Raw genomic sequence first — 16,019 nt, 5'->3', positions numbered from 1 at the left:
CAAATGGCTAAGGTTTATCTTGAGATTGGTCTAAAACATAACACCAGTACCATTCAGGAATACCTTGACACAGTTATTCCTCTCTACATAATTATCACCTTCATTGTAATAATTGGATTCAAGAACAGAGCAATATTATTTCTATGGAAAAAGAGACAGCACATGCGCGCGCACGCACACACAAACACAGACACACACACACAGACACACAGACACACATACACAAAGCTTTTTTTCTTTAAGCTGCCTCAAAAAGAAATACTTAGGCCGGGCGTGGTGGCTCATGCTAATAATCCCACCACTTTGGGAGGCCGAGGCGGGTGGATCACTTGAGGTCAGGTGTTCGAGACCAGCCTAGCCAACATGGTGAAACCCCGTCTCTATTAAAAATATGATAATTAGCCAGGTATGGTGGCACGTGCCTGTAGTCTCAGCTACTCGGAAGGGTGAGGCAGGAGAACTGCTTGAACCCAGGAGGCGGAGGTTGCAGTGAGCCAAGATCGCACCACTGCACTCCAGCCTGGGCGACAAAGCAAGACTCCATCTCAAAAAAAAGAAAAATTTACTAAAGTAACTCAAATAGAGGCCTGGAGCAAGTCCCAGTTTTTACGACATTTTTACTCTATTTTTAAACTCTTTAAAAATCATTTCACTTTATTTTAAATCACTGCTACAACACAGATTTTCGATCTGCATTTTTATTATAGAAATGAAACATACTGGCCGGGCGTGGTGGCTCACACCTGTACTCCCAGCACTTTGGGAGGCCGAGGCAGGTGGATCACGAGGTCAGGAGATCGAGACCATCCTGGCTAACACGGTGAAACCCTATCTCTACTAAAACTACAAAAAATTAGCTGTCCCAGCTACTCAGCGGGCTGAGGCAGGAGAATCACTTGAACCCGGGAGGCAGAGGTTGCAGTGAGCCAAGATCGCGCCACTGCACTCTGGCCTGGGCAGCAGAGCGAGACTCTGTCTCAAAAAAAAAAAAAAAAAAGAAATGAAACGAAACATGTTATTTCAAAATAGTCAAAAACCAGAAGTGAATACAGTAGAAAGTGAAAGTTGTCTGTAACATACCCCCACATCCCACCCACCAGTGAAAACCCAGCTAGCAGTGTCAAAATATAAACATACATAGTACATGCTCAGATACAATTTAAAAAAAAATGTGGCTGGCTGAACTTCTCTGACTCTTCAAGCCTTCTGTCTGCCATCCTCACCTAGAATTATGACTGTACATATGGTACATATGTGTGTGCGTTTGTGAACGTGTAACACCAATAAACATTTTACCAAAGTATTTTTCCAATGCAAACTTCAATGAGTCAACATTTTTTAAATTAGTTTTCTGAAAACCATAGGTAAACTGTTTCTATTTTTTTTCAATTTTCATGTTTATTTTGCTAACATAACTTCCGTTTCAATTGTTTTTAATGTAAAGTTTATAATAAAGACCCAATCTGCTTTTGACTATATCAGATTTTCTCAACAAAGTCTCTATCATCAAAAGGTTTGCTTTGTAACAATACCATTCCCAATTTAAGCAAACTATGCAGACACAAATTGCAGAATGAATGTTTTCTTCTGTCAAATTTTAGTCATAACAAATGTTGCCATAATACATATTTATAGCTATTTGTTTGTGTTTGTAATATTTATATCAATAAGTCACTACCAGTGAGTAGGATGAATGGTTTGTATTAGTTTCTTAGCTGACTACAGTAGGCAGAATTTTAAAATGGTCTCCCAAGATTTCCTGTCCTGCCAGTTTCCATGGCTCACGCCTGTAATCCCAGCACTTTGGGAGGCCAAGGCAGGCAGAACACCCGAGGTCAGGAGTTCGAGACCGGCCTGGTCAACATGGTGAAACCCTGTCTCTACTAAAAATACAAAAATTAGCCAGGCATGGTGGCATGCACCTGTAGTCCCAGCTACTCAGGAGGCTGAGGCAGGAGAATTGCTTGAATCTGGGAGGCAGAAGTTGCAGTGAGCCGAGATTGCACCACTGCACTCCAGCCTGGGTGATAGAGTGAGACTCTGTCTCAACAACAACAACAAAAAGAGGATTTCCTGTCCTAATCCCCAGGACTGAAAACACAACGAGATATCACATCCACGATTACATCATGTGCCAAGAGAGATTCTGTAGATGAAATTAAGGTTGCTAATCAGTTAGTAGTGAGTTATTAATGGGGAGATTATCCAGGAGGGCCCAATCTAATCACAAGTGCCCTTTAAAAATAGAAAGTTTTCTTTGGCTGGCTGCAGAAGAGCAAGTAAAAAAGATTCTATATGAGAGATATTCCACTGCTGGCTTTGAAAATTGAGAGGGTTGGCCAACTATAACCCCAGCACTTTGGGAGGCTGAGGTGGGAGGATCACTTGAGCCCAGGAGGCAGAGGTTGCAGTAAGCTTAGATCACACCACTGCACTCCAGCTGGGCAGCATACGAAACTCTGTCTCAAAAAAAAAAAAAGAAAAAAGAAAATTGAGAGGGTCATGTGGAAAAGATATGAGAGCCGCCTCAGAGCTGAGAGTGACCCCTAAAGCTAACAGTCCACGACAATGCAGTCATCTCAGTCCTATCACCTCAAGGAACTGGATTCTGTCAACTCCATGAATGAGTTTGGAAGCACCTTCTTCCCCACCAAAGTCTCCAGATAAAAGCCAAACCCAGCTTGATCTTGATATTGGCTTTTGAGACCCTGAGCAGAAAACACAGTGGAGCCTCCTCCCCGCCCCAACTTTCAACCTACAGAACTGTGAAATAATAAACGGATATTGTTTTAAGCTGCTATATTTGGGGCAATCTATCACATATCAATAGAAAACTAATACACTGACCCACAGAGAAACCCGTAATTCCTTCAGACTGACTTCTTATAAGCGAGGCCAAAACTACTACGGTAAGGCAAATGAGGCACGTGTTCTGAGGGCAAAATAACTTACTAGATAGATAAATTACTCAAGGTAAGTCATGCATGATAACGAACTATCAAAATTTTAAACAGGACTCAATCATGTACTTGCATGACTCTTAATCTTTGCCCTGTTGGACCCTATCTTTAAAATTTTCATAATTAGTTCTTTGAATTGTGTTAAATTAATTTTTATTTTGAAGCATTTTATTTAAATATTATTTATCTCAATTACCAAGCTTTCTGGCAGACACCAAAAACATGTATCCAGGGCCAATGCCTCAGTTGTCTCATTCTCGTCTTGTGCCAATTCTAAGACTAATCTAAGCCTTCTACCTAGCACTATTAGCCACACAAATCACTGAGCAGTTCTCAGACATTCCAGGCTATTCTACTATGTTGCCAAGCTAATTCTTTCAAATATTTTTATCATTTTTCCTACCATATACACAAATGGCAGTGAAAAGAACAGCTTAAAACCTCTGGAGTCAATATATTCTTTCAGTTAAATATAACTTCAGAAAAGATATCTAATTAAATGTACTCAAATCATCAGGAGCTAATGACACTCACCCTTAAAGAGGGATATCATGGGATAATTAGTTATTATTTGTGAAAATGCACAGAAGTATATAAATGAACTGGAATGTATTATTTGCATATAAAAATAGTTTTCTAGATTCACTGATAGGAACTGTGGTTCAACATGCTTTTTTTTGGAAATAATGAGTTTGCACTGTGTCATCCACATATTTTAACCTCATAGACCTTGTATCAGTATACTTTACAGGACAGTTAACAAAAATGAAAGGTTTGGTCTGCAGCCTTTGAACAAAATCTGGTATATAAAAAGCTTAATGGGGCTGGGCGCAGTGGCTCACGCCTGTAATCCCAACACTTTGGGAGGCCGAGGTGGGCAGATCACCAGAGGTCAGGAGTTTGAGACCAGCCTGGCCAACATAGTGAAACCCCGTCTCCACTAAAAATACAAAACTTAGCTGGGTGTGGCAGGGGGTGCCTGTAATCCCAGTTACTCAGGAGGCTGAGGCAGGAGAATCGCTTGAACCTGGGAGGCAGAGGTTGCAGTGAGCCAAGATCGCGCCACTGCACTCCAGCCTGGGAAAGGAGAGTGAGACTCTGTCTCAAAAGAAAAAAAAAAAAAAAGGCTTAATGTGACTGAATATCGAATGTGAATGATGTAATGAATTTAATCCAGCAAAGTACTAAATGTATAAAACACATACTATTATTTCAGAGAAGATTATAACATATTAAGTAATGTTCGCCATTAAATAAAAAGATACACGCTTTTCAATAAAAACCAGTAAAACTCTCTATATATAAATGTAGCACAATAACACTATTTCCTATAATAAAGTTCACTAACTATAGAGTTACCCACAGCTGAGTCACATAGCATAATATCTTCAGCACAAGTGCACAGTCAGAATTCAAAAGTTCAATTTCTGCAATCACATTCAAACCACAATGGAACTCAACCTAGTACCAAATGGAAATTAACGTTCTGTGCACTGTTTATAACAGCAAAAGACTACCCAATAATAAATGTGGAAGATCCACACAATGGAATACTACATAGCAATTAAAATGTTGTAGAAGTGTACCTATTGATATGGAAATTGTTGCCAATATTTTAAGTGGAAAGAGCAGGTTATAAAACTATGAATGTATAATTTTAAAAAGAGTGCTTCTAACGCTTCATTATTCTGAAGCTAAAAATAGTTATTTCTTAATTTTTTATTTCTAATTAACAATCGTACATGTTTACAGGATAAGAGTGTGATGTTTCAATGCATGAATACACTGTATAATAATCAAATCAGGGTAATTATATCCATCATTTTAAACATTTATCATTTCTTTTTTTCTTCTTCTTCTTTTGAGATGGAGTCTCACTGTATCGCCAGGCTAGAGTGTAGTGGCATGATCTCGGCTCACTGCAACCTACGCCTCCCGGGTTCAAGCAATTCTCCTGCCTCAGCCTCCCAAGTAGCTGGGACTACAGGCGTGCACCACCACCATGCCCAGCTAATTTTTGTATTTTTAGTAGTGACGGGGTTTGACCATGTTGGCCAGGATGGTCTCGATCTCTTGACCTTGTGATCCACCCGCCTCAGCCACCCAAAGTGCTGGGATTACAGGCGTGAGCCACTGCACCCAGCCAACATTTATCATTTCTTTGTGAGGATAACATTCACAATCTCTTCTAGCTATCTTGACTACATTGCTATTAGCTATAGTCACCCTACTGTGCAACAGAACACTAGAACTTATTCCTCCTGACTGCAACTTTGTACCAGTTGACTGACTTTTCCCAGTCCCCTCCTCCTCTATCACCTCCTCTTCCAGCCTCTGGTAATCAATATTCTACTCTACTCCTATGAAACGAATTTTTTTAGATTCCACATGAGTGAGATCATGTGGTGTTTGTATTTCTGTGCCTGGATTATTTCACTTAATATAATAATATCCTCCAGATTCACCCATGCTGCCACAAATGACAAGATTTCATTCTGTTTTATGGCTGAATGGTATTTCTATATACTACCAGTCTGTACACGTACACACACACACATACACACATACACACACACACACACACACCTACCTCACATTTTCTTTATCCACTCACCTGTGGTTGGGCATTTAGGTTAATTCCTTATCTTGGCTATTGGCTATTGTGAATAGCTCTGCAATAAACACAGGAGTGCAAGTATCTCTTCGACATACTGATTTCATTTCCTTTGGATACTTACCCAGTATTGGGATCGTGGGATTGTTGATCTTTTTTTTTTTTTTTTTTTAGATGGAATCTTGCTCTGTTGCCCAGGCTGGAGTGCAGTGCAGTGGCATGATCTCGGCTCACTGCAACCTCCGCCTCCCGGGTTCAAGCTATTCTCCTGCCTCAGCCCCCCAAGTAGCTGGGATTACAGGCACGCGCCACCATGCCCGGCTAATTTTTGTATTTTTACGAGAGACGGGGTTTTGCCATGTTGGCCAGGCTGGTCTTGAACTCTTGACCTCAGGTGATCTGCCTGCCTCAGCCTTCTAAAGAGCTAGGATTGCAGGTGTGAGCCAATGCACCTGGCCTAAAAATATAATTTTTTAATGTTAGCTGACTCAGCAAGTGGATGAGCGACTCTGGAGTCTGTAAAGGCCCAGGTTTATACACTCATTACACCACTTAATAGCTATCTGACCACAAATAATTAACCTCAATATTAAAATGGTAATATACCTACTTTATAAAGGCAGTTTAAGAATTACATTACATATTCAAAACACTTAGCATTATAGTTGGAATATAGAAGGTACTCAGTAACAGTTAACAGTTTTACTATAATTGTTTTCCTATTTTTACAGTTTTACTATTTCTCATACTGTACTCAGACTTTCAAATACGCATCTGAAATTAAAAGTTGATGGAGTAAGGGTGGGAAATGCCTACAGTTCTGGCTAAGATGAACTAACACACTTCTATCTCTAGCACCAATTATCACTAAAAACCCGGACAGCATATATGGAGTCCTCCGAGGATTCAAAAAAGTAAATAATGGCAGCTAGATTTGGGAACAAAACAAAAACTAGAAGAGCTGATAGGGAAGTGATTCACTGAGTTTTTCCCCCTCCCATATGTCCTGGATTAGATTCAAGGGCATCCCAAATCTTAGAACTGCACAGTAGGAGTGGGCAGGAAAAAGTCCAGGAGAAACACTTTCTTTGTGGCCAATGGACTAGGTAGGAGGGCCCTGCAGGATGAAGGCTATGGGTGGAATCCCAGCTCTTTTTCTCTCTTTTTTACTCTTCTGGCCCTAGCCCAAGTCAAGTACTGGTCACAAAACTGCACTCCTATGGCTTCGGCAGTGACCACAAAGGCACCTAAAACTGAGAGAATCCTTCCCTCTGACCAGAGGAACTGAGGCTCTGTAACTGGAACAGTGCAGAGAGAAACCAGGTTATTTCTTCCTCTCTGTCACCATCTTGGTCTAGAGGCATATCCAGTTGTAGGAAGTTCATGATAGTGTGGAGAGGTTAAAAATCCTGGCTTTGTCATCAGAGAATGAGGACAAGATCTCCTGGGAAACAGAGTGTGAAAATAAATCATGGAGAACAGGGAGCTGAAAAAGGAACACTCCTAAATCCATGTATGAAGTTCCAGGCACACCTAAAGGCTGTGCATGTATGAACTGACCCAAAATAGTATAACACAGATCTTCAGACCTAAATTAAGATATAGATACCGACCACCACTCAGGTCCCAAACTGACTCCTGGGAGGTACATACACAAAAGACAGACCCAAATAGTACTGCAAAGACTGTGAAAAGTAAATTGACATTAGAACCACAGCCCACTGAAGGTAAGATGACACTTGGAGTATGAATCCAACCAGTCTGATTGCCTGCTAAAAGAAAAAACTCAACATTTCCAGGTGCCTTAAATAGGACTCAGAGTCTCAAGTAAAATATTCAAAATGTACAAACAAGCAGGAGACACCAACCCTAAGATGGCTCAGATTTTGGAATTGTCAAAAATTAAGCAGCTATTATAATCATGCTTTCTGAAGTAAGGGCAAATACACATGAAATTAATGAAAAGATAAACATTTTCATACAGAAATTGAAACTATAAAAAAGAACTAAATGAAAATTTTAGATTAAAAAAACTAAAATAAAAATTACTGAATGGACTGAATAACAGAATGTGACAGAAGAAAGAAACAGTAAGCCTAAAAATAGATCAACAGAAATTATCCAGTCTGAACAAGAGTGAAAAAAAGGTGGGGGAAAAAATGAGCACGGTGGTGGCCGGGCGCAGTGGCTTACACCTGTAATCCCAGCACTTTGGGAGGCCGATGCGGGTGGATCACGAGGTCAGGAGTTTGAGACCAGCCTGGCCAACATGGTAAAACCCCATCTCTACTAAAAATGAAATAAAAATAAAAAACTGGGCATGGTAGTGTGTGCCTGTAATCCCAGCTACTTGGGAGGCTGAGGCAGGAGAATCGTTTGAACCCGGGAGGCGGAGGTTGCAGTGAGCCAAGATCGCACCATTGCACTCCAGCCTGGGCAACAGGGCAAGACTCCGTCAAAAAAAAAAAAAAAAAAAAAAAAAAAAAAGCACGGTGGCTCACGTCTGTAATCTCAGCACTATGGGAGACCAAGGGGGGTGGATCGCTTGAGCCTAGGACTTTGCCACCAGTCTGGGCAACACAGTGAAACCCATCTCTACAAAACAAATACAAAAATTAGCCAGGCAGGATTATGTGCGCCCATAATGCCAGCTACTCAGGAGAATGAGGTAGGAGGATCGCCTGAGCCCAGGAGGTAGAGGCTGCAGTGAACTAAGATCACACTTTTGCATTCCAGCCTGGGCAAGAGAGCGAGATTCTGTCTCAAAAGAAACAAAAAACCAAAAAGGCCAGGCGTGGTGGCTCACGCCTGTAATCCCAGCAGTTTGGGAGGCCGAGACAGGTGGATCACCTGAGATCAGGAGTTCAAGACCAGCCTGGGCAACATAGTGAAACCCCGTCTCTACTTAAAATACAAAAATTAGCTGGGTGTGGTGGTGCGTGCCTGTAATCCCAGCTACTTGGGAGGTTGAGGTAGGAGAATCGCTTGAACCCGGGAGGCAGAGGTTGCAGTGAGCCAGAACATGCCACTGCACTCCAGCCTGGGAGACAGAGAGATATTCCATCTCAAAAAAATAAAAATAAAAAAGACAGGAAAGAGCCTCAGAGATCTGAGAATATCAAAAAGTTATGTCAGTGAAGTCCCAGAAGAACAAAAGAAAAAAACTGGAGCAGAAAAAAAATATTTGACAAAACAAAACCTTCCAAATTTCATGAGAAACATAAATAATTAAGTGAACACGAACAGGATAAATGTATGCCCATAAATAATCAAACTACTAAAAAAATCAAAGATTAAAGAAAAAAACTCCTAAAGGAGCCAGTGAAAAACAACACATTACATACAAAGAAACAATGATTCCAGTGATTATAGATGTCTCATCAGAAAGCACAGAAGACAACAAACTACATTTTTGAAGAGCTAAAAGAGTAAAACAATAAACCCAGGATTCTACATCTAGTGAAAATTTCCTGCAGTAAAGATATTCTTAGGCTGGGCACAGTGGCTCATACCTGTAATCCCAACACCTTGGGAGGTCAAAACGGGTGGATCACTTGAGGTCAGGAGTTCGAGACCAGCCTGGTCAACAAGGTGAAACCCTGTCTCTATTAAAAATATAAAATTAGCCAGGTGTGGTGGCTCATGCCTGTAGTCCCAGGACTTGGGAGGCTGAGGCAAGAGGATCACCTGAACCCAGGAGGCAGAGGCTGCAGTGAGCCAAGATCACGCCCCTGCACTCCAGCCTGGAAGACAGAGTGAGATTCTGTCTCAATTTTTTTAAAAAAGATATTCTTAGGTGAAGGAAAACTGAGATAATTCATCAGCAGCAGACCTGTTCTAAAACAAATGCTAAATGTAGATCTTCAAGCAGAAGGAAAATGATACCAAAGGGAAACTAACTTCAGGAATAAAGGAAGTGCAAATGAAGTAATAAATATACTTGTACATAAAACATTTTTCTCCCCTTAAATTCATTAAAATAGGTATGACTGTTGAAAGCAAAAATTATAATGCTGAGTATGTGGTTTTCAATGTTTAAAGATGTAACATATAGAATCACTGTAATGTAAAGAGGCTAAAGAAACATAGATTGTGTGATTTCTGCATTTCACCTGAAGCAGTAAAGTATTAACTCTAAGTAAAATATAAAGTTAGGTATGTATATTGTAATCCCCATAGCAGCCACCAAAAACAAAACAAAACATACAAAGAGTCAAAAAAAATACATAAATTAAATGAATTACTAAGACAACAGTCAAGCAATCTGAAAGGTAGGAAAAGGGAGATTATGGAACAAAAAGCAGAAGGGGCCAGGTGAGGTGGCTTACACCTATAATCCCAGTACTTTGAGAGGCCAAGGCAGGAGGATCACTTGCCTACGAGGTCGAGACCAGCTTAGGCAACACAGTGAAACCCATCTCTAAAAAAATTTTAAATTAGCCAGGTGAGGTGGCATGCGCCTATAGTCTCAGCTACTCAGGAAGCCAAGGTTTGAAGATCACCTGAGCCTGGGAAGTCAAGGCTACCACCGTAGCCATAATTGTGCCACTGCATTCCAGCATGGGCAACAGAGCAAGACCCTGTCTCCAAAAAAAAACAGCACACCTATATCCAAATATATCAATAATGTCAACAACTGTAAATGGTCTCAACAGAACAATTAACATACAAGATCATCAGACTAGATTTAAAAAACACAAGACCTACTGGGCATGGTGGATCACCCCTGTAATCCCAGCACTTTGGGAGGCCAAGGCAGGCAGATCACCTGAGGTCAGGAGTTGGAGACCAGCCTGGTCAACATGGTGAAACCCCATCTCTACTAATACTACAAAAACTAGCTGGGCCTGGTGGCACATCCCTGTAGTCCCAGCTACTCAGGAGGCTGAGGCACAAGAATTGCTTGAACCCAAGAGGAGGAGGTTGCAGTGAGCCAAGATCATGCCACTGCACTCCAGCCTGGGTGACAGAGGAAACTGTTATCTCAAAAAAAATAAATAAAATAAAATTAAAATTAAAAACACAAGAGCCAACAATACGCTGTCTATAAGACATCCCTTTAAATACAACAAAGGATGGAATTATAGAAAGGATAGTAAAAATAGATCTTGCAAACTCTAATCAGAGTAGACTTAAGAACAAGAAAAATTACCAGGGATAGAGGGAAATTATACAGTAAAATGGTCAATTCACCAAAAAATATATAACAATTCTAAATGTTTATGGACTTTTTTTTAAAGCTTCAAAATATATGAAGCAACAACTGAAAGAAGAAATAGAAAATTCCACTATATTTGGAGATTCAACACTCCTTTCTGAGCAACTGATAAAACAAATAGAAAATCAGCAAAGATATGTAAGACCTGAAAACCACTATCAATCAATCTGACCTAAGTGACATTTATAGAACACTCTACCCAACAACAGCACAATACACAAGGGCATGTGAAACATTTATCAAAGTAGATCATATCCTGGGACATAAACCTCAACAAATTTAGAAGAAAAGAAATAAAATAAGGTATGCTCTCTGATATGAAATCAAATTTAAAAATCAATACAAGAAAGCTATCTGGAAAAATCCCAAAATATTTAAAAACTGAATAAAACCCTTCTAAGTAATCTGTGGGTCAAAGAACAAGCCTCAAGGAAAACTAGAAAATACCTGGAACTGAATTAAAATGAAAATACATATCAAACTTTGTGACATGCAGCTAAACAACTGCTTAGAGAAAAATGTATGGCATTAAATGTTTCTATTAGAAAAAGAAGATTTCAAATCAGTAATGTAAGCTTCCATCTGAGAAACCAGAAAATGAGCAAACTAAACCAAAAGCAAGTAGGAGGAAGAAAATAAAGACGAGAGCAGAGATGAATGAAATGAAAAAATAACAAAGAAAGTAAATGAAACTAAAAGCTGGTTCTTTGACAAGACCTATAAAAATAATAAACCTCTCTAGCCATTCTGACCAAACAAAGAGAAAATATACAAATATTCAAATCAGGAATGACCGAAAGGATGCCACCACTACAAACTCCACAGATGAATAATGAAATACCACAACTGCATGTCCACAAATAAACCAATTCCTTGAAAGACACAATCTACCAAAGCTCATTCCTCAAAAAAGAGATAACCTAATAGTCCTGTATCTATTAAATAAGCTGAATTTATAGTTAAAATTTTTCTAACAAAAACATTCCAAAGGTAGTGAGTTCTCCCAATTGATTGTTCACTGTCTTACAGATCAAACTCCCTGTTCTACTCTTTCTCCCCTTCTCATTACCACACTAAACTAGTCTTCAACACACACACACACACACACACACTCTCTCTCTCTCTCTCTCTCTCTCTCTCTCTCTCTCTCTCTCTCTCTCTCTCTCACTCTCTTCCCGCACCCACTCCAGGCCAAGATGATTTCACTGGGGAAATTTTGGCAGTCAAGGAAGAGATACTATCAATGCTACATAACCTCTTCTAAAAACAGATAAGGAAGGGAACACTTCTCAACTCATTTTATAAAGCCAACTTTCCCCCAATATCTAAACCAAGCAAAGGCATTATAAGAACAGAACACTACAAACCAATATACCTCATGAATATAAATGTAAAAATCCTCAACAAAATATTAGCCAAAGACACTGGAAAACTGGCAGTTTCTTATAAACATACACTTACTGTATGACCCAGAAACCCCAATCTTAGGTTTTTAACAAAGAAAACAAAAACAAGGTTCACCAAAAAAACCTGTATACAAATGTTTATAGCACCTTTATTCATAATCACCCAAAACTACAAACTCCCCAATACCCTTCAACTAATAATGCATAAACAAAGTGTCGTACATTCATATAATGCAACACTACTCAGCAATAAAAAGAAATGGACTACTGAAACATGCAATAACATGAATGAATCTCAAATGCACTATGCTAAGTGAATGAAGCTAGAAAATGCTACAACTCATTCATATGACATTCTGAAAAAAGTAAAACTATAGGAACCAAATAATTTTTCCTTCTTAAAACCAAATCTACTCCAGAAAAAGCATTAAATTATTTAAAACTTAACAAATAATCTTAATCCTGGGGACATTTCTTTTTCTTTTTCTGTTTTGTTTTGGGGCACATTTTTTCTAAAGAGAATATATATATATATAAACGTATACTCATAGCAGCCCCAAATAGACACTTATAAAGGTGTTTTTACTAGAGTAATTTGTAAAGAGAAAAAGAAATAAATGCCCACTAGAAGTTTATAAATTTGACAGAGTATTCAATCTTATTTATAACAACACATTATACCATATTTTCTTGCCGCCTATTTGAGGGTTCAGACTTATTAACAAATTGGTCACATTTCAAATCTTTTTAAAAATACAGTATGATGCAAGTCTGACTCCAATATGGGCAAAAAAAAAAAAAAGATTACAAAGGGGAAACTGTTCTATTACCTCTTACTGTACACAGCCTGAAATGCAGTAAGATGTGTATACTATTAATCGATACAGAAGAGTATCAGACAATGTGTATATGAATCAACATAATATCATTACTAGAAATACACAATTTTCCAGTATTAAAAAAAATTTCCAATGGGAAGATTTCCAGGATTATTGAAGACATTAAAACTACTCAATAGTGGGCTATCAGTACAACCTTCATAAACAAAGTTTAACTACAAGACAAGAAAATAGTGCTCAAGATAGGCAAAAATCCAGTGATAACCCAGAGCCTCCAAACAGATAGAGAACAAATACACAAAAGACAAATGTCAGGCATGGTGGCTCATGCCTGAAATCCCAGCAACTCTGAGATTTTTTTTTTTTGAGGTAGACTTTTCTGGATATATTTTATATCTCAGTAAGTGTTCTTAAAGTAAATATTATAAATAAAAAAATTTGGCCAATAAAATTTAATATTACTGTCTTTCTTTTCAATCAGAATCAAGTTAGTAAGTCTTCAACACACACAAACACACACACACACTCTCACTCTCTCTCTCTCTCTCTCTCTCTCTCTCTCTCTCACTCACTCTCTTCCCGCACCCCCTCCAGGCCAAGATGATTTCACTGGGGAAATTTTGGCAATCACGAGTCTACCTCTGTCCTGACAAACGCTTATATACATGCACAGAAAAGGTTGAATAGTACGGACAAATGCTTATATACATGCACAGAAAAGGTTGAATAGTAGCATACTTGAAATGCAAGAGAGAACCTGGAAGACCATTTCATTAGTGACAGAAAAATCATTTCTTTTCAGTCACCATAGTAATAAATGATTAGGGCAAAAAAAAATCTTTTTTGGTGTTTGCCGCACTTTAATTGCCAAGAGGATATAATACATTCAAGTAAATGAAGAAAAACGGGTTAACAAATGAACACATTATGAGGATTTCTAAGGTTCAATTAACGTGTGAATTTCTCAAACTCTCAATTATCAGGGAAATTGATTAAAAGACAAGAAAATAGTTTTCAAGACAGACAAAATCCAGTGATAGACAAGAAAATAGTTTTCAAGACAGACAAAATCCAGTGATACTCAAAGCTTCCAAACTAATAGAGAACGAATACACAAAAGATAAATGTCAGGCACAAATGTTCATGCCTGTAATCCCAGCAACTCTGGAGGCTGAGGCAGGAGGATTGCTTGAGGCCTGGAGTTCCAGACCAGCCTAAGCAACATAGCGAGACCCTGTCTCTTAAAACAAAACAAAACAAAACAAAACAAAAGTTAAATACTTTTTAAAAGATGAATAGAGGATGGGGCACGGGTCTTCACTTTTGTGGGGGTTTCTTTAGTTGCTATTGTTGTTGTTTTTGAGACAGGGTCTTACTCTGTTGCCCAGGCAGGAGTGCTGTGGCATGATCATGGCTCACTGCATCCTCCACCTTCTGGGCTCAAGGGATCTTTCCACCGCAGCCCCCTAAGCAGCTGGGACTACAGGTGTGTGCCACCTCATCTAGCTAATTTTTCAATTTTTTTGTAGAGATGAGGTACCTCTATGTTGCCTAGGCTGGTCTCGAAAACTCCTGAGCTCAAGTGATCTTCCAGTCTCGTCCTCCCAAAGTGCTAGGATTACAGGCATGAGCCACCATGCCCAGCCTGTTTTGTTTTTTTTATTTTTTAACAGGAAGCCATTTATTCATTTGACAAAATTTGTATTGAGTCTCACTTAAATCTTGCAAGTTCTCCCTTTCTGGACTGCAGGTTACTGAGATTTACGGGTAAAAAAGTTTAACTGCTAGAGAGAATGTCCAAAGGTGTGGGTCCTCAATCTTCCCTATACAATTGAGATATAACATCCCTGAAGTAGAACAGGAGCATTCCCATGACATTAAATTAATTTCCAGGAGTAGACCTTCCAAGAATTCTTAGGGATAGCATTAATGGCATCTGCTTTCTATAGAAGTGAAAGATCTCTACTCTACCAATCACCCAACAATTCCTGACTGCACACAAAGCATTCTGACTCAAGATAGAGCCACATACGGCCATATCAGGCTTTTGTCATGAAGTACTACTCTTTTCGGTAATACTACATATGTTCTTCTTTGTACTGTTAACCCCTGAATACTGCAAAAATCTGAATTATCTCTTTCTTAAATTCTAAAGTCCATAAGGTCAAGGATGTGTTCTCAACATCCTGCTCTGCACAAAGTGAGCACGGGTTCTAAAATAACATAAACAGGCCAGGCAGGGTGGCTCGCACCTGTAATCCTAACACTGGAAGGCCAAAGAAAGAGGATTGTCTGAAGCCATGAGTTTGAGGCCAGCCTGGGCAACATAGTGAGACCCCATCTCTACAAAAAAAATAAAGAAATTAGCCTGGCAAGGTGGCATGCACCTGTGGTCCCAGCTACTCAGGAGGCTGAGGTGGGAGGATCACTTAAGCTAGGGAGGTCGAGGCTGCAGCGAACCAAGATCATGTCACTGCACTACAGCCTGGGAAACAGAGCAAGACCTTGTCTTTAAAAAAAATAAAATAATATAAACAGACATCCCTTGTCCTTATCTTTTTTTTTTTTTTTTTTTTAGACAGAGTTTCACTTTTGTTGCCCAGGCTGGAGTGCAATGGCACCACCTCAGCTCACTGCAAACCCTGCCTCCCAGGTTCAAGCAATTCTCTTGCCTCAGCCTCCCAAGCAGCTGGGATTACAGGCATGCATCACCACGCCCGGCTAATTTTGTATTTGTAGTAGAGACAGGGTTTCTCCATGGTGGTCAGGCTGGTCTCGAACTCCTGACTTCAGGTGATCCGCCTGCCTCAGCCTCCCAAACTTGTCTTTATCTTTAGAAATACCAACATACATGCACAATAGGAAAATATAATTAAATGGTTTTCCCAGACACTACTAAATATAGCCCATTATATCCCAGTAGAACAGCATGTAAGATAAAAATTACAAACTTTTGGCCAGGCGTGGTGGCTCACGCCTGTA

At 39.4% G+C, this 16,019-nt stretch overlaps 1 protein-coding gene across 1 annotated transcript in view, besides 1 other annotated feature; it reads right to left on the bottom strand.

The window, feature by feature from the left end:
* The window catches only part of FAM117B (family with sequence similarity 117 member B), a 134,789-nt gene that overhangs the window by 102,092 nt on the left and 16,678 nt on the right, over window positions 1-16,019 (bottom strand). The window lies entirely within an intron of this gene.
* Window positions 1,158-1,237: an enhancer, noted in NCBI's record as "active region_17003". NCBI's record gives its function as "activates an Ori minimal core promoter by ATAC-STARR-seq in GM12878 lymphoblastoid cells {active_cell/tissue: GM12878}" and the evidence as "EXISTENCE:reporter gene assay evidence [ECO:0000049][PMID:35858748]".

This window comes from Homo sapiens, chromosome 2, assembly GCF_000001405.40.
Source record: "Homo sapiens chromosome 2, GRCh38.p14 Primary Assembly".
Lineage (NCBI taxonomy): Eukaryota > Metazoa > Chordata > Mammalia > Primates > Hominidae > Homo > Homo sapiens.
This window is presented reverse-complemented; position numbering and strand designations above follow the sequence as displayed.